The 25,910-nt window shown below is 36.6% G+C and overlaps 1 protein-coding gene and 1 pseudogene across 4 annotated transcripts in view; both read right to left on the reverse strand.

Moving 5' to 3' along the window:
- ERCC8 (ERCC excision repair 8, CSA ubiquitin ligase complex subunit) overlaps window positions 1–25,910 on the reverse strand; it is a 78,617-nt gene that overhangs the window by 17,301 nt on the left and 35,406 nt on the right. For 2 of the 4 annotated variants that reach the window (NM_000082.4, NM_001007233.3), the window contains 7 exons: window positions 21,038–21,119; window positions 19,894–19,962; window positions 18,688–18,754; window positions 15,873–15,973; window positions 14,522–14,646; window positions 7,135–7,332; window positions 3,686–3,766 (listed from right to left, as the gene is read on the reverse strand). In NM_000082.4, coding sequence (NP_000073.1) covers window positions 3,686–3,766; window positions 7,135–7,332; window positions 14,522–14,646; window positions 15,873–15,973; window positions 18,688–18,754; window positions 19,894–19,962; window positions 21,038–21,119 — 723 coding nt within the window. Of the gene's footprint in view, window positions 1–3,685; window positions 3,767–7,134; window positions 7,333–14,521; window positions 14,647–15,872; window positions 15,974–18,687; window positions 18,755–19,605; window positions 19,963–21,037; window positions 21,120–25,910 lie in introns of those variants that run through there. The other 2 variants (NM_001290285.2, NM_001007234.3) reach the window with 2 other exon arrangements.
- GNL3LP1 (G protein nucleolar 3 like pseudogene 1) lies at window positions 7,922–9,908 on the reverse strand (annotated as a pseudogene).

A 25,910-nucleotide genomic window follows, 5' to 3' on the forward strand; every position in this document is an offset into this window, starting at 1 on the left:
TGCCCTATAGATCTCAGGCAGGAAAAAGTAATTAGGAGTTATAGATAGGCTTGTCTTGACCAGACCAGCTTTTAGAAAGGAGGGTCAAAAGGAAGCCAGATTCCTCAAAATATAATAAAACAGTCTGCCAACTAAATAAAAGGATTTATAGTTAAAGACCATAAATCCTGTCCCTATCATCCAGTGTTCTTCCTTTCTTTAGATAGAATTAAATTCATCTTCTACTTTGGATATCAGGAGAAACACCCCTAAGGGATTACATCTTGATTGATGGGGAGGTAACTCTCATCTGAAGAATGCATTTGAAAGGAAACCTAAGAATAACTTTGATTAGACAATTCTGATATTTGGAAATATTATAAGCTTGTCCCAGATCATAAGTAGAATAAATGGCAGAACTGGGATTCAAACCCAGTTTCCTGAAGCTAAAGACTAAGTATGTGGGCTGAGGGTGGTGGCTCAAGCCTGTAATCCCAGGACTTTGGGAGGCCGAGGCGGGTGGATCATGAGGTCAGGAGATCGAGACCATCCTGTGAATTGTGAAACCCCATCTCTACTAAAAATACAAAAAATTAGCTGGGCGTGGTGGTGGGCGCCTGTAGTCCCAGCTACTCGGGAGGCTGAGGCAGGAGAATGGCGTGAACCCAGGAGGCGGAGCTTGCAGTGAACCGAGATTGTGCCACTGCACTCCAGCCTGGGTGACAGAGCCAGACTCCTTCTCAAAAAAAAAAAAAAAAAAAGACTATGTGTATGTATATGTGTGTATGTGTTTTTTTTTTTTTTGTTTTCTAGTGTGGTATACTGCCTCCTTGGGAAATAAATATCAAATAAATATACTTATTTTGTAGTTGGGATAAAAGCACTTTTAAACATGGCTTAAATTATAAACATACATGTAAGGAATAGGATCTTCTGGACAGACTATTCTACTGGGATCTGCATCATGATCACATTCATGTTCTGCCTATATTCACAGGAATGCTTCAAACTAAAATTTTATGGAAATTACTTTAGCACATACCATTTTATATTAATATGAGAATGACTGCTATCTTAAAATATATGAACATGACATTTTAAAAGGTAAGGTTTTATAGCTCTAAAACAAATACAAAACTCAACTTGATATTTGTATATCTCTATGTGATTTTCTAACTTGTTTTGCTTAATTTCTCATATACAAAAGTTTGTTTACACGAAGAGTTCAAACTATCACTATAACGACATAACAAGGAAATAAACCATCAGTCACATATTATCTTTTTTTTTTTCCTTTGAGTCAAGATCTCACTCTGTCACCCAGGCTGGAGTATAGTGGTGCAATTGTGGCTCACTGTAGCCTTGAACTCTTGGGCTCAGTGATCCTCCCACCTCACCCTCTTAAGTAGCTGGAACTATAAGTGTAAAGCCACCAAACCTGGCTAATTTTGTCTATTTTTTGTAGAGATGGGGTCTTTCTATGTTGCGTAGGCTGGTCTTGAACTCCTGGACTCAAGAGATTCTCCCACCTCAGCCTCTCAAAGTGCTGGGATTACAGATGTGAGCCACCACACCTGGCCACATATTATCTTTAAGAATTAAACAATTTAGTATTCTTCTAACATCCTTTTCTATACATAAGTCACTATAGATTTACTTTTCATTTATTTTTACTGTTTTCATTTGGTAAATAAAATGTTATATTTCCTAACATGGCTTACAGTGTTAACTTGGGTTTAATGTATACAGCAATTCCCAAAGAGCAGGACACAATAATTACATAAAGAAATGTAAAATAAATGGCTAAACCTAATTATTTGACCATATTAAGCTTTATACAGAAGAATATTCTGACACCAAAAGCAGCTGTATGCTAAAGTTAATCAAGCCACAATAAACCAAATTAGACGTGATAAAATCTGGAAGTATGCATATGGCATTGGGTAGCTACTTAAAGATTTATCAAAAGGTATTTTTTTCTCTTTATTTGGATTAAGGACAAAAGAAAATAATTCACAGGTTTACACAGCAGTAAACCTTAGCAGTTGAAAATTTAGGTATGAAATATATATTGTCAATAGCTGTGAGATGCTATCAACCACCTCTATACAAATTATATTTTCATGTGGTTTTTGACATAGTCCTTTTTTCATAAAGGAACTAAACACAGTATATGAAAAATGTTTTTTGAATGTCAAACGTGCTCTATCAATAACTTTTCCTCCACCTCCATTTAAGATGCTTTTACTATGACTTGGTTAAGATTACCTTAAGGTGTTTCCAACTACATTATTTATATTTCCAACTTAAAGAACTATATGTATATATATATGTATATATATACAAACATTGTTTTTAGACATTGCTTTTAGACTTTTTATATTGTAGAAATTAAGATAAATGAGGATGATTATTAGGAGAATAAACCTTGGTGGGAGAGAAACCACCTTTAAACAGCCTCTATCTTCCTACTGCTTGATGTGAAAGTTAAAAAAAAATACAGAGGCTATTACTTTAGGTCAGGGACAATGGTCTTGTTCATCTTTGTTTACCTACTGTGTTTTTAAGGTCTTTATTTACACTGTCATGCTTATACTGATTTATGTTCTACGAAAGGCACTGTCAGACTGCTGGTAGGAGTGTAAACTGGTAAAATTTGACGTGAGAACAAAGTCTTAAAAATGTCGGCTAGGGGTAGTGGCTCATGCGTGTAATCCCAGCACTTTGGGAGGCCAAGGCAGGTGGATCACTTGAGGTCAGGAGTTGAAGACCAGCCTGACAAACATGGTGAGACCACGTCTCTACTAAAAATACAAAAATTAGCCAGGCGTGGTGGCGGGTACCTGTAATCCCAACTACTTGGGAGGCTGAGGCAGGATAATTGCTTGAACCCAGGAGGCAAAAGTTGCAGTGAGCCAAGATCACGCCACTGCACTCCAGCCTGGGCGACAGATTGAGACTCCATCTCAAAAAAATAAAAATAAAAATAAAAATAAAAATAAAAATAAAAATAGAAAAAGAAAAGAAAAGAAAAAAAGTGATATATAATAATTTAAGAGATAATTCCACTTTTAGGAATCTATCTAAAGACATAGTCAGAAATATTAACAATTTTTGAACAGATATTTACCTTGATGTTTACAATAATCAACAGAAATGCCTCCAAGTAGGTAAATATTTGAATTGCTTTTATCAATGACAGAATATCATTAGAAATGTTTACACATAGTTATTAATGACATGAAAAAAGGCTTATTGTACAATGTTAATGAGAAAAGTGAGATACCAAGTTGAATGTCCAACCATGATATGAACTATGTTAAAAAACATATGCATAGGAAAAAACAGTTATGAAACAAATCAAAATGTTAATATTGATTAATTTGACTTGAGGAATTTTATGTTCTTCTTTTGATATTTTTCTGAATTTTCCAAATGTATTAAAATAGTCAAATTATTTTTACGGAAATTACCAAGAAATGCTTTTTTGTTGTTGTTGTTCTGAGATGGGGTCTCACTACATTGCCCAGGCTGGTCTTGATTTCTGGGCTCAAGTGATCATCTTGCCTCAGTCTCCCAGGTACCTGGGACTATAGGTGCATGCCACTGGCAAGAAATGCTTTAAAAGTCTCTCTCACATAAAGTAACAAAACATTATTTCTTAAGCTTTAGAAGTCACTGTACCATTTGTGAAAATAATATTTACCTCATCATCATCAGGAACTGGTTCATATAAGGATGGAACCCAAGCCAGAATGTTGCAGTCTCTGCTACCACTATAAAGTTCCTATAACATAGAAGGCAAAGATGATACTGTGGATCAAGAGCTGATATCAAACTGAAATGAATTATATCATTTTTGAAATAATTAGGTCATAATAATTAGATTAATGCTATTTCTACTCCCTAAAGAAACTAGGCCAATGCTGTTTTTCCTTTGTTTCTTTGTTAGTAAAGCTTTGTTTTGTATTTAAAAATAGTATTAGGATTTGTCAGAGCTTACTAATGGTGTGAAAATTTTACAAACACACCCCAAATCCTAGCAGTTTTATCAATTATAGTATCCATATATTTCTAATGTCAGAGAAAGAAAAAAATAGTTTGTCTTTCTGTGTCCAAATAACTGAGCTTCAATAAAGACTTCAGTGAAGAAACCATATGAGCGTCTACTAAAATAGGCCAAGTTCTCAAAAAGTTTTATTTAACTTACAGCTGCCTAACTGGCTGCAATTCAACAGAAGAGCTTGAAGATGTATATCCCATGCCTGTTGAGAAGTTTACTTCATAAGGGGAAGCTTGGGGTGATGCACAGCCTATGTCAATGTCTACAGATATGCTGTTTGCTTATGGCTGAACAATGCTCATGCCCCTCCCCAACAAAACCGAAGAAATATGTTATATTGGCTTTTTTCCTCTGCTGTTTAATACAATTTATTTTTATTATTGTACATCTCAAAAACAATGTGAGGCATGGTATAATTGTGTTTTTTATCTAAGTAAGGATGTGGGAAAAGGGAAAATAAGATTATATAGTAATTTATAGAAAATGTAGATTTAAATAATTATTAGATATACATTATCAAATTTCCTAAATAAAACAAAATTTTGTTGACTGTATTACAAAATCTAGACTATAAAGTTACACTAACTGTGGCTGATGCAAAGATATATATGTTCAGTGCCCTTGAGTAATTTTACTCCCCTGAGAAGGCCAGGTAATGCGCAAGATAACTTGGTCAGATAAGCTTATAGAGCAATTCACAATAAGTACTAACACACCCAGTGAAGACATAAAGGAAATTCTGTAGATGTTCAAGAAAGAGATATTGAAAGCAGCAACATTTAAATTAGAATGACTAACAAAGAACACTTAGATAGAATGATTTACATTAAGCCTTGAAGTATCTGTGATAGATGGAGGAGTTCATTTGGGCAATTAGATTTTCTTAAAAAATAATCTCAAAATGTAAGTTACAAGTGCAGTCCAAAAGACTTCTTTTCCCCCTTGAATCATATGAGAGTAAGTTGCCAACATTAGGCCTTACTACTCTTGAATAATTCAGTGTATTTTTCCTGTGAACAAGGGTACTTCCCCTTATAGTTACAAAGTAACCAACAAAATCATATTATTACCACCATCTAAAGACCACATTCATGTTTCATTATTTGTTCCAATACTGTCCTTTATAGCAAAAGGGACCAGTTAAAAATCACATGCTGCACTTAGTCGTCAAGTCTCTTTAGTTTTCAAGCTGGAACAGTTCTTCAGTCTCTTTGGCTTTTCTGACTTTGATAATTTTGGATATACAGCAGTTACTTTGTAGACTGCCCTTCACATTTGGCTTGTCTTATGTTTCCTCATGATTAAATTTGAGTGATACAATTTGGTCAGGAATATCACAGAAGTGATGTCCCATAACTGGGATGCTAACTTAGATTATTCGATGAAGGTGATATGTGCCAGGCTCCTTCAGGGTAAAATTAATCTTTTTAGTTTGTACTTCATATTTTGTAGGGTGATATGTTGAGATTATATAAATATCTCATTCCTCATCAAATTTTCAATTTATTAATTTACTTACTTATCCCAGCCTAGATTCATGAATTTATATTCTGTTGCCCATGTTGGAGTGCAGTGGTGTGAACACGGCTCACTCAATCTCCTGGACTCAAGCAATTCTCTTGCTTCAGCCTCCTGCACAGCTGGGACTACAGGCATATACCACCACACCTGGCTGATTTTTTGATTTTTTGTAAATACAGGGCCTCATTCTGTCACCTAGGCTGGCCTGGAACTCCTGGGCTCAAGTGATGCTTTCGGCCTCCTAAAGTGCTGGGATTACAGGCATGAGCCACTGTGCGCAGCCATTGTCACGATTTTAATCCATTCTAGGCACACCTATTAGAGAAGCTCCAATTTGGTAGAAAGAAATAATTTGTGGTTAGAGTACCTGGGATGAAATTTCGGCTGTGTCTCTAAGTAACTTTGCAAAGAAAGGAGGGACAATGTTTTAAGAATTTCTTTGAATACAAACACATGCTTTATCAGTAACTACTTGCAGGTTAGGGGCAAGTCACGTCACCTCTCTGGTGCTTTCGTTTTCTTCTCTCAGAACACTAAAAATGTTTAACAAATGGGATATACCTTCTTATTGACTAATAAAAAGAGATACTGGCTATAGGGTTGGAGTAGGGTCTTGTAGGTCCCCTTTTAGTTGCTGCGTTAAGGTGACGTCTAAGAGGTCCCAGGGAAGGGGCTGAGGCTGGAGGTCGCTTGGGGGCTTGGTGCAGCAGCTGTTTACCAGCCAGTAGGATATATAAATATTTATATATTTTAATAATGAATACTGCCATAATGGTATGTACTGGCTGAAAAATCAGGTCTATATATCTTACAGCACAGTGTCAGGCACAAATTAGGCAATCAGTATTAATGAATGAATGAATAGGAGATTCAAAGTGATAGTCTCCTTGAGCTCTAATAATCTGTAATGTTCATTCTATCAGTATTTAACTTACGTGAGTTTCATTTTCCTTACCTACAAAACAGGGAAAATACCAACTATCTTGCAATGTTATACTCATTTAAAGAAGTGCATGAGGTAATTTGTGCAAATGTTCTCTGAAAAAATGAAAAACCATCTGCTCCATTGGTGATATGAAAAGATCTGGATGTAAAACAAACAAACAAAAGCCAGAGTATTTAAGAAATTATATAGGTTGTATTAACTTCAAAACCTCCCTTTACTAGCCATTGGTAGAAAATAAGGAAGAATAGATCATCCACACATACATAAACCAACATATACAAATTATATTTTATGATTAAATGCCTATATTTTATTTCTTACCCAAAAGATTGTTTCAAGAAATTATTTTAATTCACCACAGATTTTCAGTTGTTAAATAAATGAAGGTCATATGCAAAAGAAACAGAATTTATACCAATCAAGTTGCACAGTATTATATTGATTCATTCATACATTGTATGCTGTCTAACAATCTAGGCTGTGCTATTCTCTATTAAATAAATCCTACTACAAATGTGGATTAAAAGCATAACTCCTCAGAATAAAATCATAATTTATTCTTTTACATATAACTGGTCTGGCAAGCTAGCTAGCTGAACATTTTAAATTCCTGTATCACTCTTACCTGGAAATTTGACTGAAATACACAGCAGTCAACAGTTTTATAATGTCCCTTAAGCATAGTTATCTGTTCTCCTGAGTAAACTGTATAAACAGCAATGGTGCTACCATATGGTACAAAAACAAATTCTGAACTGCAGCCACAGGAGACAGTGAATTTCAATCCTTTTTTACTGTTATTACAAACTTTTCCATAGTTCACCTGTAGGATTAAAATAATAAGGTTACTCATCTCTGAAATCTGAATTTAAAACACAACAAAGCCTAGGAGAAATACTTAAAATATTATGCTATAAAAAGGGCTCTTTTAAATTTAAGGAAAATATTCAACGTTGACAGAACAAGGGCCAATGACATGAATGTACATTTAACAAAAGAGGAAATACAAATAGTAAAAAACCACAGGGGTAAATGTTTACTTTTCAATCTTAATAGAAGTAAAATACAGACTTCAACCTTGAAGAATCATTTTAGACCATTTAGCAAAAAATTAAAAAAACGTAAGACATTAGTGATACAAGTGAGGTAAACATGTTGGTGGCAGTGTAATTTGGCTATTCTTTCTAAAAGGGCAAATGGTTTATTAATGCAACCATTCTTTTCAAAAGAATAATATTTTTTGGGGGGTGTATATTATATACTCCCAAAAAACATTATTTTCAAAAGACTACCCCACCAAGAATTTTTTTTGGGGCTAATACCCCCCAAAAACCATTCCTTTCAAAAGAATGGTATTTTTTGGGGAGGGGGTAATGATATTTTTTGGGGGGGCATATTCTTTTTTTTTTTTCCTGCTGATACTTCTTTTATTTCTGTTGTAAAACAGAGTAGGGGTTAAATAAAGGGTATTGGGTTTGTCAGCTCCAGCCTCTTGGGACTCTTTTTCCTGGAGAGAGTGGAGAGAACAGTGGGAGGCAAAGACACATAGTTGGGGAAGGGTTCTTTTAATATGCAGATGCTTCAGGGAGAACCAAACTATTTCACTGGTAATCTCCCGTCCCACTGGAACTGGTGCTTGGATCGGAAGGGAAGTGAGATCAGTCAATTAGTTACCAACACTGCCATCAGCATTGCCAGAGAGGTGGAGGGCAGACATCATGGAATCAGACAGCTCCCTGGGGATTTTATCTGCACATTTCTGTAAATTCTTACTCTTCAGGGAGGATGCTAGAGCCTGGCCCTGTTGTAGGGGGTCCATCTCCATGATCCTCTGCAGTACTGGGCAGCAGTCCACTGGGCACACATCCACCTTACTGTTTTTTTTTAGGGTGGTGGTCTACATTGAGTTTAGCCCACCCCATCTGATGACGATTCGGATTGGTGCAATAACCAGTGAGATCTCCAATCTTATATACAGTAGCTTTATCTTCAATGGCATCTGCTATTTCCATCATCGGAGAATGGAGCAACTTGATCTCCATTTTGAGTGGGTCTGTGTCACCCAATAGCTCATCAGATTCTCCAGTGGCCAAGCATTCCATGGTGTCTTCATTGACTTGCTCGGTATCCTCGATGTCAAAGAACTTGGTCATTTCCTTAATTCTCAGCACTGAGATGGGCAGGCAGAGTGTGAGTGGGTGGTGGTGGTCTATAGAAGCTGATCTTCCCGCTCACCCAGTCAGCTAGGACAGTTTTGGCTGCCTGCTCCTGACTGTGTAAGTCTCTCTTCTTCCCCAAATGGTGGGCCACTGCTGTCAGAAAGTGCTCAGTAGTCTGGTACCCAGAGAGAAGGTAATAGTTGGAAATCTCCTCCAGGTTGCAGCACTGCAAGATGGTCTCCACTGGGGTCATGGGGTCTGCCAGTCTCTAGATGTGGATGCAGTTATGCAGGATGGTGCCCACCTCTGAGCTGGGCCCTGGAACAATGGCTGGAGCATCCAGCAGCCGGATGAACTTGTCCAGGTAGACCTCCTGCATGAATTTCGTGACCCCAGGAATGGCTCCCACACTGCATGCATGGCTGTGCTTCAGGCTTTTAATCAGGCTGCTTTTCCCAATATTGGGAAGGCCTACAATGTCCATATGGATGTGGGTGCGCATTTCACCAAGGCAGCAATAGTTCCCCAGAACCCTCATGAGGTTTTCAGCTCCAAAGCTGACCTGATGCTGGGTCCTGGCCTTGAAAGCCACAGTTGGCAACTCATTCCGAAGGTAATCCAGCCACTTCACAACCTCCTTGGGGTCCAGGTCAATCTTTTTCAAGACCAGGACCAGCTTCTTGTTGCCTTCTGCCCATAGGATAGCCTCCCCCATTTGGAAGCAGCAGCAGCAGCCTAATGGGTCTCTGGCATCCAGGACTTCCAGAATCACATCAGAGTATTCTACCACCTCACGGACTCCTTGTAATAAGCCTTCATAGTGGCCTCGTCATCCAGCTGAGGAAACATATTTAATTCCTGCAAAACTTCTTCCTTACACTGAAACTCCTCCTGGCGTCTTAGGATATCCTCACAGTAGCTCTTGATAGACCTGCGTTTTTGTCTTTCTTGCTCCTGGGCAGCTTGCTGCTTCTCCCTCATCTCCTCAACCCTCTTCTTTATTTCAGCCTCTCGATTGGCATGATCATTGGAGTGAACAAACTGAGGAGCAGAGGGCACTTTGGAGGTTGCTTTCTTCCCATTTTGTTTTGCAGGCTTCTTACAGCCCTTGGAAACTTTACCTGGCTTTTCATTTTTGTTTCTAAGTTTCATCATCATGATCAGCTTGAAAGCAGATAGGTTCGAATCCGCTTGCTCTCTTCCTATACTTCCGGCGGGGATCTGAGAAGAGAGAGTAACAGACGCTCTTGTGCTGCTAGGCTCCGGACTTCTGGCTTCCGGATGCCAGCCTGGCGGCGCCCGACTCCGCCCACTGGGCAGTCTCCACGAGGGGGCGGGGCTTCTCCCTTCCCTTTATAGTTAAACATTTTTTCATACACATAATATAAAATTTACCATCATAACCATTTTTAATGGTACTCAATGGCATTAAGTGCATTCATGTTGTTGTGCAACTCTCATCACTATCCATCTCTAGAACTCTTCATCTTGCAAAATTTTACCCATTAAACAGCAAAGATATTCTTACCCCTTGACCTGGTAATTGCTCCTGGGAATTTATCTTTTTTTTTTTTTTTTTTGAGACAGAGTCTTGCTCTGTCGCCCAGGCTGGAGTGCAGTGGCGCGATCTAGGCTCACTGCAAGCTCCGCCTCCCGGGTTCACGCCATTCTCCTGCCTCAGCCTCCCGAGTAGCTGGGACTACAGGCGACCGCCACCACGCCCGGCTAATTTTTTGTATTTTTAGTAGACACGGGGTTTCACTGTGTGAGCCACGATGGTCTCGATCTCCTGACCTCGTGATCTGCCTGCCTTGATCTCCCAAAGTGCTGGGATTACAGGCGTGAGCCACTGCGCCCGGCTGGGAATTTATCTTAAGGAAATAATTAAATAGCAAAAGCTATATGCCCAGAGGAATTCTATCCAGTATTATTTAGAATGGGGTAATAACTGAGAATAGGTATATATTCCTAATAATGTTACATTAACTTTATGATTTATATAAATCATAATTATGAAAATTATGCAGAAAACAGGGATAAAGGCTAAGTGTAAAAAAGCACAGACCATAAATAGTGTGTACACTGTAGTTTTACCTTTATATAAATAATTATGTATTTGGGACAAAAATTAAAATTCTTTGCTTGTACTCCAAAGGTGTAGTGTGCAGGCTCAGCAGTGTGAGCATCACCTGAAGCAGTCAGACATGCAGACTTCCAGGCCCCACCCCAATCCTACCGAAAATAATCTTCATTTTAACAAGATCCCTAGGTAATCCCTAGGTAAACACTAATGCAAATTTGAGAAGCTTTGGGCTAAATAAGTTGATGGGTTTACTTCCTGATAATAATTTTGATAAGCTTGGGGTGAGTGTAAAACCAGTAACTAATCATTTGGGAATCATGATCATGCATATCAACAAAATCCACTGTCGTCAGGGCTAATATTGAAGTTTAAATAGTGATTTGTCGGCTGGGCGTGGTCTCACTCCCGTAATCCCAGCAGTTTGGGAGGCCGAGGCAGGCGGATCACAAGATCAGGAGTTCAACACCAGCCTGGCCAAGATGGTGAAATCCCATCTCTGCAAAAAACACAAAAATATTAGCCAGGCCTGGTGGCGGGTACCTGTAATCCCAGCTACTCAGGAGGCTGAGAGAGAGAATTGCTTGAACCTGGGAGGTGGAGGCTGCAGTGAGCCAAGATGGCGCCACTGCCCTCCAGCCTGGGCAACAAAGCGAGACTCTACCTCAAAAAAAAAAAAAAAAAAAAGGGATTCACTTTTTTTTCTATAGGTTAGATAAGTGTGTGTGTATGTGTATGTATATATATACATAAATAAAAACACTGAGGTCAAAATGGATACATGCTAATAATCTATGGATACTATACTTGGCTTACTTTCCCTTTAGGCTAACTTGTGCCAGAAATGGGTACATGCATTTAGCTACCTCATGGCAGTAGCAGTATAGTGGGTTAAATATTAAACTCATTTTGGTGGACTTGGGTTTTAAACACTCATCTTTTTTTTGCCCCTTATGAATAATGATTTAACCACTTCGTTTCATTCTTCTTATCTGTTAAACGGAAATAACATCATTTACTTATAGAGTTATGTATCGTGAAAAAGCAAATGAAATAATCCATATGAAAGCACCTGGAACACAAAGGTATTCAGTAAGTTCCTAGATTAATTCCTATACATGTTTAAAAATATAACATTCCCTCATTTGTGTCTTCTGATCCTACATGTGCAACAATTTGCACAATGATATGGGGGTGGGGTGACGAAGAAAAAATACAAAACAGTTTTCAACTAGTATTTCACTGTTCCCCCTGGAAAAATTATAAACTGCTAGACTGTGATGGCCTTATTCACATTTGTTTCTCAGGACACCTAGTTATAAAACTTATGGTCTTTCCAGTATACCACATTCCTTCCCAAATATGAACTGGAAAGTGTTGAATGAGGTATGAATATTGAACCAGGGCATTAACTTTTGTCTTGTCCTTAGGGTTTCTTCCTCCAATCCATCCTACAACTTAATGTCATATTAATATTTCTTTTCTTTTCTTTTCTTTTTTGAGACGGAGTTTTCGCTCTTATTGCCCAGGCTGCAGTGCAATGGCATGCTCTCGGCTCACCGCAACCTCTGCCTCCCAGGTTCAAGTGATTCTCCTGCCTCAGCCCCCAAATAGCTGGAATTACAGGCATGCGCCACCATGCCCGGCTAATTTTGTACTTTTAGTAGAGATGGGGTTTCTCCATGTTGGTCAGGCTGGTCTCGAACTCATATTAATATTTCTTTTTTGTTTGAGACGGAGTTTTGCTCTTGTTGCCCAGGCTGGAGTGCAATGGCGCGATCTCGGCTCACCGCAACCTCCACCTCCCGGGTTCAAGCGATTCTCCTGTGTCAGCCTCCCGAGTAGCTGGGACTACAGGTGCCCACCACTGGCTAATTTTTTGTATTTTTAGTAGAGACGGGGTTTCATCGTGTTAGCCAGGATGGTCTTGATCTCCTGACCTCGTGATCCACCCACCTCCGCCTCCCAAAGTGCTGGGATTACAGGTGTGAGCGACCGTGCCTGGCCTGTCAACTTTAAAATAAAAAAAAGAAGTTACTAAACGGCAGGACTGGTTCTATCTGATAGCCCTTTAAAAATCTGAAGACAGTGTGTTTCCCCTTAAAGTAATCTTTTCTGGTATCAACCGTAAGTATTCTATGTAGGTCAGTTTCTGGGATACCTTAGTTACCTATGCATGAATTACTTTTACTTTGATCAAGTCCACTGTAAAATGTATTATCCATTTTCAATACATTATTTTAGATACGGACTTAATAGAAAAAAATCCAAAGGGCATGAGACTCACCTTCAAGAAGGAAAGAAAAATGGAATAGAACCACATGAACAATTTATATATACATTCAGTACCATTTATATTTATCACATTAAACTTTGACACACATGCCCAGCTACTCTTCCAGAGTGATCCTGTCACTTCTCCACTCACAAGCCTTTAGTGGCTTTCCATCTCACCCAGAGAAAAGCCTGACCCCTTACAAAGGCTTGCAGGGCCCATATGATCTGGCACCCTAGTTCCTTCTGTTCCTCATCTGTTATTCCCTTCATATTCCAACGCAAGAACCTCTTAGCTCTTCCTTGCGTATCCCAAGGAAGTTCTCGCCTCAGGGTCTTTGTACCTTTTTTCTTTCCCTGACTAGAATGATATCCCCCAGCAAACAACTGATGAGCCACTTCCCCATTTCCTTCAGGCCAAATGTCACCTTAGTGAAGCCTACCCTGACTTCCCTATGTGAAACAGCAACTCCAACGTCCCAGTATTTCCTGTGATCCTTTCTTTGCTTTGCTTTTCTTCATAGTCCTTACCTAATCTAATATATAATTTATCCATCTGTCCATCTATTAATTGATTGATGCCTTTCATACTCTTGCTGAAATGTAAGCTCCATGAGGATAGGACTTTTCCATGTTTTGCCAACTGCTGTCTAATACTGCCTGGCAAATTAAATGCTAATTATTATTAGCACAGTATCTGACATACAAGCTCTCAATAAATATTAGCTATTATTATTATCACCAAATTATAAGCTTTTAGTAGTTTGTTCTGAAAATTATTAAACCATAGGCATATCTGATAAGACTATAACCTACATAAAAACAAGTACTAGAAATTAATAGCCACATAAGAATATAGCACCTTCGAAATATATTTATTGCAGTAGTATTAAATAAAGTACTACATATTCTGGTACTATAAAATTCACTGTAAATTTTGTTTATAAGTCATATATAGTACAGGTTAAGTATCCCCATCCAAAATGATTTGGACTAGAAGTATTTTGGATTTTAGAATATTTGCTTTACTGCCTGAACATCCCTAATCTGAATATTCAAAATCTGAAATGTTCCAATGAGCACTTCCTTTGTGTGTCATGCTAGCACTCAAAAAGTTTCAGATTTTGGAACATTTCAGATTTCAGATTTTCAGATTAGGGATACTCAACCTATATAAAATTTGATTACTTAGCTTCATATCTTTAATTTATATCAGTAGTCCTCAGTCTTTTATTTTTCTCTACTACGCTTTGCACTCCCATTGAGAACAGTGGCTCAGTAGAACAGTGATTCTCTGCTAAGTAGGGAGAATGTGGTAGGTAGTGGGTAAGGGTGGGTTGTCCTGAGTTGAGAATTACTAGTCCACATAGTAGAAACACATTTTTAAAAACAGCTGTGATTAAAAGGGAATAAATGAGTTAAATATATAAAAAAATCAAGTGTATGTCACAGATCCATTTCTTAATTTATACCCAAATATATACTTAAAAATCTCTTACAAGTGTGTTTTCTCCATTGGAACTATTCCAGAGCCTCATTCGATTATCTGTACCAACAGTGAGGAGGTGAAGTCCATCACTTGTAAAACATAAGCCATTAACTTTCCCATTATGAGCAGTGTTTGCTGCAATGAAAAACATAGTTCAGTTTATCTGTTCTTGTATTCAGGACATATTTAATGTTTGATGATATAATTAAACATATTAAAGGACAACTACTTGAGTTACTTAAAAAATGTAAGTAGATTATACTTAACCAACCCTTCAGATTATTTGAATAGGATAAGCTATATAAATCAGAACCATAAAAATAGAGGAAAACAAAAAAAAAAGGGAAAAAATTTCTGCCTAACATACTTTTCTTTTCCAGCAAGGAAATTGTGCCATGAAATTCAATTAAATGTGTAGCTTAACACTAAAATTTAAAATTAAATGCCTTTCATCTCTCATATATTTTTATTGCTAACCTAAAAATCATTCTATGGACTATTAAAATCAATAATTCTAGTGTTTTCCATTGAAAAAAAAAACAGGGAAAGGATGACTGTTGTAGTCTCAAAATTTATATCACTTACAAAATTAACAAGTTTGAGAAAGCATAATTCTAAAATAGCCTAATTAATTTAAAAACATATAAAACATGTTTTATATAGTTTACATGTTTCATAAGGTTTTTTAAAAAACTATATAAATTCTAATATATGAAATATATTAGAATGAACTATATAAAACCTATGATTGTTTTATATAGTTTTTAAACTTTGTGATTGTTTTATATAGTTTTATGTAGAAACTACATAAAACTATAGTTGTTAAGAAATTACATAAAACAATTATAGGTTTTATATAGTTCATTCTAATATATTTCTGGTCCAGAATTAATTCTCTATCAAAATTTCTACACAGGAATTAAATTCTACTGTAAAAATGCAGTTTAGGTACTTTGTCACATGGATTGCAGCTGACTCACATTTAACACAATTTTATGTTGATACAATGGCCACAAAATGTTACTATTTCTGTAATTTATTGTGACTTTTTAAATGGCATTGAATATGTATAGTTGGCCTCAATGGAGCAAAAACAAAACAAGTAAAGCAAGTTAATTCACAAAAATTTCTACTTTTGAAAATTTGGGGGCAAATGAAACTGCCATTTTTATTTGTATCTTAAAGAAAGAGAATCATAATTTAGTTTATGTAAATTAAGAAAGTGATATACGATGAATGCCTTTTGAAAAATCATAAAGTTTGCAATTTGTCAATATGCGTTTATTATGTGGCTTCAATTAAAAATTTTCAATGTAAAAAAATACTATCATTGTCATATTTATTAATGCGTTCTTCCTTACCTGATTCAACAGCTTGTGACTTTTTCCCATTATGTTGATCAAGAGTAATCAAACATCCTGATGCTCTTCTCACATCCCATAATTTTACTCTACTGTCAGCACTGAGAAGAAATAAATGTTACATTGACATATGTAGCTAGGACAATGACTGTACCCCTCACCCACCTTTCTAATTTTATGGCACACAGAGGTCTCGTTATATAGGTACATATGTATTCATACATTAGGGTTGTTGAACTTTTGCCTTTTCAGCAAATATTCAATAGTCAACAGTAGCTCAAATAAGTGAGTAAATAGCAAAAAAAAAAAGTAACCTTTCTTTTCCAGATAACAAGAACAAAATTTTGCTGCTTTTTATATTGTTTTAAATTACATGAGCATCTTTTCTCCCAAGGACCAGAAAGGCTTGTAGCTTGTTCCAAGTAAGTTCCTTACCATACCTTTTCTACTGCTTGTTATCCAAATGCTGTCAAGACAAGCAATTAACTAATTTCACTTTGCTCAAGAATCCATTTGGTATGATTTGGTGTTTTTTTCCTTTTTATATAAAAAACGGTAAGTGTAAGGTGAATAATGAGGACAATGCATTTCCATTTGGTTTCCTATACTCAAATCAATCTTTGCCAGATATATGAGAACTATATTTAATGTCTCCTAGAAATTAGACACTTACTTTCATTTTCTTTCAAGTAAGCAAAAAGAAGAAAGGCAAATCTATGATCAGACATCTATTTCAGCTTCTAGATTATTTCTAAAGAAAAATGCCTGGCAATCCGACGTGCTCCTAATCAGTTCAACTGATGCTATCATGTCCTCACAAGGACCTCAACAATATTGTAACCCAGGGGGCTTATCAATGCCATTTTAATAAGAGAGAGCATTACATTTTTATAAGCCTATTTTTTATTTAATTTTTTTAAAAAAATATACACACAAGGTTTACTGGTTTCTATAACCTCGATTCTTTTCACAGATGACCATCAAACCTAGCCAACTGGAATAGTTAGCAAAAAACTAGCATTACCCATTCTTAAGTTGGTTTTCTTTCTTTCCAGGTGAAGGAAATGAAATCAGTATGAGGATTTAAGTCTCTTCTGAAACAGATTAGATTTGAACATATCCAACTTTTAACACTGATTACTAGGTCCATTGTGGTACTGATTCAAATTCCTGGAGTATTCTTATAATTGAAAGCTTCTTAGCTCTCCTCTTATCTGATGAAAACCAAGTTAAGCATGAAAAATGTAAAATCCACCCAAGCATAACCAGCACCTAGCTCCTAACCTTCATACCTCTTCAGCTAGCCTTCTTATGGCTACATTCTAGACCTTGCTGCACTTCAGAAATCATAAATTTCAACATCACATTCTGCCAGTTATTAACAGAAGCTTCTTTGGGGCCTGAACTGTGACAGGGAGACAGGGCTGGCAACTTAAAAAAAAATCCAGACACAGATCTTTATAAAATTAATATGAATAGCTTTCGTAATAATTCTTCTTCTACTTAAAGTTTTATGAAAATATATAAAAATATTTGATTACTACTTCCTATCCCTTCAGTTTTTAAATTTTCTTAGTCTAACTCTCATACTTCTACTTCATTAGATCCTTGATCCCTCCTACAAGCCTTTTTGTGATTTTTTTCCTTTTACCCATGACTTCTACAATTTTCAGGCACCTAGGTACTTTCCTGTAGACACCGAAAATTGTTAAGTCTCTTTCATTTAATGTTTTAATTTCTGTGGCTTAGTACAGCTGTGCTCTACATATTCAACAGGGAGCAAGTGCCCAGTAATCCTATGGGCCCTTAATCAGCTCCCTCACTCTTTCAATCTATTATTCCAGATCCATACTATCTTTCCTCAAAATTGCATCCTCATTCCTATATTTTCAAGAGATGACATCAAGTTCTACTCCACTAAAAACCAAGAGAAGCCGTTAAGTCTGAGTTTCTTGAGCTTCTCTGCCAAAGCTACAAAGTTAACTGTATTCATGTCCACCTTTTCCTCTTTCCATTTAGTCTCACAGTGCTCTTCATGTGCCAAACTAGGTGTACCCTCCACCCTCATCTGGATCCTTGATACTACCCACTTCTGTGTATTCAAGGACCTAATGCACCAATTATTCCCTCCATTTCTTATCTTCACCTGTTTCTCTCTACTGGTACTCTTTCCCCAGCAGATAAATATGCAATACTCTTTTTCTCCAGCAAAAAATAAACCTCCCCACATCTTTTGATCCTCTCAGAGTTAAGTGATCCTGCTTTCTTTTCCTATATTACACCTACCAGAGATGTACCTCTATTAAAGCATTTTTCTGGATGCCCTGTAATCACTGATTTTTGACTATATGCCTCATTAGATCATTAGATTGTTGGTTTTTCAAAGCCTTGGTTACCTCTGTGTCCCTAGCACAATGCTTGGCACGTGGGAGGAAGTCATTAAATATTAGAAAATTGAATCAATGAATGTGTGGATATGTTACATCAAATTCAAAATAACTCCAGGTTAAAGATAATGAATAAAAATGCTCTATTTAAAAATTAGCACTGTGTTATACATTTGTGTGTAAGAATGACACAACACAGTTCCTCTGTGTTCTAAGGTGAAACACCTTGAAGGTGGATAGGATTAGAATTAGAATACAAAGGAAGATTTCTTTTGGTGACATGAATTAAAATTTCTAAGTCAATACTTCATTTTAAAGGAGTGAATTAATAATTAAATATGCTAAAATATATACATTACATAAATGTAGACTTTTCAAAATGCTTATTATTAATTACTAACTTCAAAAGCAAATAAGTTAAATTTTACCTTGCTGTTGCCAAGATATAGTCATAACGTGGAGACCAGGAAACTGCTAATATTTCTTGTCTGTGACCTGCAAATACAACTATATGAAAAGTCTTGCAAGATATCTGAAAAATCAGAAGATAAAGTGCCAATAATTTTGCCTGATTCTGAAGAAAGTGAGGCCAAATATTCAATGTGAATAGATATGACCATTTTTCAGATTTATAATAATCGATGTTTCAATGCTAATGTGAAGTTTACAGGGGTATTTCAAACATATGGTATTTTATTGTAAAAGAACTGGTTTTGCTTTGGAAAAAACAGAGTTAAGTAAGTCTTTCTTTTTAAATACAGTTGTTAGCTTATGTCAGTAAATCCATATAACTCAAGCTCAATTACTGTAATAAAACATATAAGATAAACATTTTAAAGGATAAAAATGTTTTCCAATTTCTCATAAAGTTATAAGAGAAACCTACTTTAACTCATGCTTGTAGAAAAGCATTTATATAAAATGTTTTTTTCTAGAAAGCACAGGTGATAAGTTCAAAGGGTGATTTCAATATTTTAATTCACTTTTAGCTAACTGAACTATTCACATCAGACATTTCCACCTGCCCAGCTTATATTAATAAAAATTCATAATAATGTCAAAAAATGCTATCTATCTCATCAACTTTTCTTAACATATTTGTTATGTGTTTCTTTGAGATCAGTCAAAATATATAAATTATATTCTATCTTTTCATTGTTTAGAATTAGACAATCTAATACTGATAAAAGTAGCAAGAATAATTTAAATACACCTTTACCAAAGAATTACTTCAATATATTTTTCTAAAATATTTTTACTGAGAAAAAATGTACCTAAATATTAAGAACAATGTTTACTCATTAGCCAGAATATTAAATAATACATATGAGACAAGTACACTGATGTGAGTTGCATTAGTCTTTTTAATGTAGAAATAACACAAGGTTTTGAGTTAGAACTATTTTTCATATTGTTTGAGCTTCCCCAATGATCATTGTTCATATAAATGTGTTTTCAATGGTTCAGTTTTATAAGAATAATGCACAGAAGGATCTTTATTTCCCTGCTGAGTCTCAACAACCAGCACAAAGTACATTAGTCATGTCACTTACAAAGAATACACTGTTAGTAACGTTTCTTTTTATTGAATCGTTTACTCAAAGTAGTTGCCGTTTGAAATAAAATAAAAATACCCTGTAGAATGTGAGAACAGGATCCAGACTTCAAGTCACAAAGTTGTACTTTGGGTCCTCTAGTACCAACTGTAAAAACAGAACCGGTTTAAGATAATTTTATCATAAGTCATCATCAAAAGGAAACAAGACATTATCATTAGTAATCATGACATTTTCACTGTATCCATGCAGAAATATGAAGATATATGCCAAAATTACATTGTCATTTTTAATGTTTACATTTAGAAAAGTTATTTTAACTACAGTTATATTTTAGTAGTAAGAGACCTCTATTATTACATTTATTTTTTATTCTGAAATAATTATAGATTTGCAAGCAGTTGCAAAGCTAGTATAAAGAGAACCGTGTACCCTTCACTAAGTTTCCCCAACGATTATGTGTGAGGTAACTAAAACACAGTATCAAACCCAGGAAATTTGTATTGGTAAATGTGTATGTATGTATGTACAGTTCTATTCCATTTTATCACATCAAATCATTGTATTTTAATAGCTTAGTTTTTCCAAGTTAATGATATACTTCCAATCACTAGTAACAGATTCACAGAAACTGGACACAGACTGAAAGGACCTCAAGACAACTTAGTTCCTAGCTCTTCTTCACAGATAAAAGAGGTAGAGACTCACATGGTGCCAAAGAAATAATGAATCACAGGGCCCAGATACCTGATACCAGAAAATCATTTTTTCTTCCTTATATATGAAGATGTTTGTTGCAGGTGCTTTTATATAAATTGATGCTTAATTTGAATCACAATCTTAGAGAAAGAAAGAATTTCCTTGTTTTATTGTGTCAAATTGGGAAAGTTGCCAAATTTTATTCATGTAAAATCTCTGAAACTTTGGTGGTTTAAAAGGAACTCTTTAGACAGAAATACGCTCTTATTCTCTGAATCCTGGCCACAGCATAGTGCTTGCCTTGCAAAATATCTGTTGAATATAAATAGTACAATATCTGTTGAATATATATAGTGTGTGTGTGTGTATATATATATATATATATATATATATATATATATATATATATATATATAAAATTGTGATATTCCTCTGGGTTAAAATGTCTACATCAAAACTAACTACATATAAAAAGGGAGAAAGTTTTCAGTATGTCAAAAGACAAAAGAATACACTTACAAACCTGCTACCAAACAGTGCTTGGTGGAGACTGGAGACATATGATGACTATAAACTGTTTCCTCAAAATTAAATACATCTGCAGTCTGGTAATCAAAAGACATTTAAAAAGTATAAGGTTTAAGTATAAAAACAAAGCAATAAATTTTCTATTTACTTTTTCCTAAATTTTTAGCTATTTTTAAATTGACTGTTAGCAATTCAACTTAAACATAGGAATGTAATACCCCAAAAAACCTTGATAATTTGAAATCCTGTCATTTACAACATTCTTTTCCCTTCTATGAAAAAAAATATGTTTTCCCAATAAATCCCAGAAATTAAGAAAATATAAGCCTGTGGCTCACCATATTCCTCTCCACCCACCCTGGTGGGGAGGGGGCTCAGCATCTACATGGATGATGTAGCCAGCACTGCCTCTCAGTTCCGTATAACCTGAGCTACCACACCCAGGACGCTGTCACTACCTAGAATTGCCCCTTCTTTGAAATCATACATTTCAGTTATCTATGACCACAATCTTCTACCATTTTCAGCTTTTCCCCCTCCAAATACTCTCAAGAAATCTGAATAAACTCTGGAACCCCTAACAGTTCCTTTCATCTACTTCTCTTCCTCTCCAGCTTGGATTTCAAGGTCCAATACCAATACCAAGGTCAACTGCCAATATCTGCAATTCCTTTGCTAACATCCTTCCACTTGTCAAGACTTCACCCTGGGTGACCCCAAATGTCTGCCTTCTCTGTACTTATATCCAAATTGATCTACACCAGGTGTTGGCAAACTTTCTTTAAAAGTCAGATGGTAAATATTTTAGGCTTTCAGGACCAACTACTCATCTCTGTCACTGCAGTGTTAAAGCAGTCATAGACAACAAATGAACATATTGTAACTGCTCACCAGGTTCTTCCTGCCTGCTGCACAAACAAAATCAATTCACAAAAACCATGGCATTGTAGTAAAGAGTTTAACTGATGCAAGGCTGGCCAGGCCAAGTGCGAGATGGGATTTATTAATATTACTCTAATCAACCTCCTTGAAGTCTTGTAGGTTTGGGGTTTTTCAAAGGTAGTTTGGGGGAAGGGGTGGGAGTGGTTAGATGATGAATAGATGCTTGCTATTGATTGGTTGGGGGTGCAATCATAAGGGTGTGGGGAATGGTCCTCTTGTGCACTAAGCCACTTCTGGGTGGGGCCACAGGGGCAGTTGGCAGGTCCAGGTGGAGCCCCTGGTGTCAGACATGAAAAAATCCTGAAAAGATATCTCAAAAGGCCAATCTCAGGTTCTACAGTTGTGATGTTATATGCAGGAGTAATTGGGGAAGTTATATATCTTGTGCCTCCGGAATAATGGCTGGCAATCATTTATGTCTCTTTATTTATTTATTTATGAGACCAGGTTATGAGACTGGCTAATTTTTGTATTTTTGGTAGAGATGGGGTTTTGCCATGTTGCCCAGGCTGGTCTCGAACTCCTGAGCTCAAGCAATCCACCCTCCTTGGCTTCCCAAAGTGTTGGGATTACAGGTGTGAGCCACTGCTGGGCCTATGTTTTAGCAGAATTCAGGCTTGTCTCCTCCTCCTAGTCTGGTGGTCTCTCATTAGCTTTACAAAGGTGGTTGAGTTTTGGAGAAGGGCTATTATCATTTAAACTATAAATGGCTGGGGGCAGTGGCTCACCCCTGTAATCCCAGTACTTTGGGAGGCCGAGGCAGGCGGATCACTTGAGGTCAGGAGTTTGAGACAAGCCTGGCCAACATGGTGAAACTCCGTCTCTACTTAAAATATAAAAATTAGCTGGGCGTGGTGGCAGGCGCCTGTAATCCCAGCTATATGAGAGGCTGAGGCAGGAGAATCGCTTGAACCCGGGAGGCAGAGGTTGCAGTGAGCTAAGATCACGCCACTACACTACAGCCTGGGCAACGGAGCAAAACTCTGTCTCAAAAATAAATAAATAAATAAATAAATAAATAAACAAATACATACATAAAATAAAAAAAATAGAGTATTAACTAAATGTCTTCCAAAGTTAGCTTGGCCAAAGCCCAGCAATAATTAAGGCAGCTTGAAGGCTAAAGGCAAGAGGGGGTGGTGGCTAGATCAGATCTCCCCTACTGCCACAGTTTTCTCACTGATATAAGTTTTGCAAAGGCAGTTTCAATATTTGTGTCCAAAACCTACTTTATTTACAAAAAAAGGCCATGAGCCAGACTTGCCCATGAGCCCAGACTTAGCCAATCCCTTGCTCTCCTCAGGTAAAAAATCTTATAATTAGGGCAGTGTGACATCACCATAAAAGATTATTCATTTCCTCTGGATTTCAGTAATGACTGCCAGTCCCACTATATTTCACTTGTATTCTTCTCTGCAGTATTCCTCAGCTATTTCAAATCTTCTCCACAAATATACCAACTCAGTCACAACAGGTAATTTGATCTTTTATTTCAAGGAGAAAATAGGAGGCAGTCAATCAGAATTTCCTTAATGTCTTACCAACAAACCTACAAACACATTTGCTTCCACTTATCCTTTTTCCTTCTTCACTCCTGTTATCATAGAAACATGATTCTTTTTTTTTTTTTTTTTGAGATGGAGTCGCTCTGTTGCCCAGGCTGGTGTGCAGTGGCACGATCTTGGCTCACTGCAACCTCCGCCTCCCGGGTTCAAGCGATTCTCCTGTGTCAGCCTCCCGAGTAGCTGGGACTACAGGTGCCCGCCACCATGCCCGGCTAATTTTTGTATTTTTAGTAGAGATGAGGTTTCACCATATTGGCCAGGCTGGTCTTGAGATTCCTCCCCATTTTTAATGTCAATCCCCCTACTTGTGTTCAGATTCCCTTCAGCACTGTCAGAAATCTCACCCTATAGATTATCTTCTGGGTATCTATAACCTCTGTCCCCACTGGCTCATTCCCAACAGCACTACAAGTGAAAGTCTTTTTCATCTTAACACCGCTTCCCTAAGACAAAAAAAACAAAGAGCATTTTCGCCCTACATTCTCCCTAATCTTTCCTCCTCTTCAAATCCAAACTTTGGCTATCTCTAATTCCTTATCTCCCACGTATTTCTCAACTAATTGCAATCTTATTTTTATCGCACTACTGTAAATCACACTATTCTTCCAATATTACCAATATGTTCCTCATCTGATTTAATCTGTCAGTAGCATTCAACACAATTGATTACTCCCATCCTCTTTAAAGCAATCTTTTACAGGCTTCCATTGTATCATATATTCCTGATTTTCCTCTTTCTCTCCTTGGCTACATCTTTTCATCACCTTTAGCAGACTTTGCTTTCATTTTTCTGTCCTATTTATCTTTGTCTTCATGGTCTTGTTCTATGTACTCCTTTCAAATGCCACTTGTATGTTATGGGTTAAGTATCCCTTATCCAAAGTAACTGGGACCAGAAATGTTTCAGAGTTCAGATTTTTTTTTTTTTGGTTTGGAAGGTTTGCATTATACTTACAAGGTTGAGCATTACAAATCTAGAACTCAAAAAATTTCAAATTTTGAACTTCTGGATTAGGGACACTCAGTACATAGTGAGGCACAAATCTGTATATTCAGTGTAGACCTCACTCCTGAATTCTGGGTATGTATAGATCGATTCCTGGATTATCTTCATTTGGATTTCCTGTAAATCCCTCAAACTCAACAAATCGAAAATTGAACTCATCATTCCAACCCTTCCCCATCTTACTAAATAACAAAATAACAATATAATCCACCCAATTGTCAAGCCAGAGAACCTGGGGGTCATTCATATAAATACATATATATATATATATATATTTTTTTTTTAAATAATGGCTTTGTCAAGATACAATTCACATTATCATACACCTTGGAACCCATACGAAGTGTCACTAGTGATGCTGCAAGTGGTACCAAGAAGCAGAGAAAAGTCATGACATTATAAAAAAAGGCTGAATTGCTTGACATGTACCATAGACTGAAGTGTGCAGCTGTGGTTGCCCACCATTTCAAGATAAATGAGTCCAGCATAAGAACCATTATGAAAAAAGAAAATTTGTGATGCTGTCACTGCAGCTACGCCAGCAGGTGTGAAAACCTTGTATGTTTTGTGAAATACCTTTGACCTCTTATTGAAAATCCATCTTTTATGTGGGTGCAGGATTGTTAACAGAAAGGCGTATCTATATGTAGACTCTAATATGACTTTTAAAAAGCAAAGTCAGTATAGTCATTATATGACAATGTGAAGCCAAAGGAAGGTGAAGGATCTAAAGCTGGAGAATTGAATGCCAGATAAAGATGGTTTGATAATTTTTGGAAAGTTTTGGCTTTAAAAAAGTCAAGATAATAGGATGAGAAGCTTCTGCCCACCAAAAGGCAGCAGATGAGTTTCCAGATACCATTAAGAAAATCATCGAGGACAAAGGATATCTGCCTGAACAAGTTTTAAATGCAGACAAAAATGCCCTATTCTGAAAAAAAAAAAAAAAAAAAAAAAAAAAAAAAAAAAGCCACAAAGGACTCTTATGACATGGACCCTTCAATGATATGGGCTCTGAAACTAAAGCAAATAGTGGAAGAAGGTTCAGTACTGTAATAGAAACATTTTTAGAGAAATACAGCAGAACACACAAAAATTACGATGTATTTCCATAGTTATACCAAGTGTGGCTGCCTCTCCTTCCAAATCTTACACCTTTTGCTACCCTAGAGACAGCAAGGTCAACTCCTCCTCCTCCTGCTCCTTCTCCTCAGCCTACTCAATGTGAAGATGATGAGGATAAAGACCTTTATGATGATCCACTTCCACTGACTTAGTAGTAAATATATTTCTCTTCCTCATGATTTTCTTAATAACATTTTCTTTTCTCTAGCTTACTTTATTGTAACAACGCA

This window comes from Homo sapiens, chromosome 5 (assembly GCF_000001405.40).
Source record: "Homo sapiens chromosome 5, GRCh38.p14 Primary Assembly".
NCBI classification, from domain to species: Eukaryota; Metazoa; Chordata; class Mammalia; order Primates; family Hominidae; genus Homo; species Homo sapiens.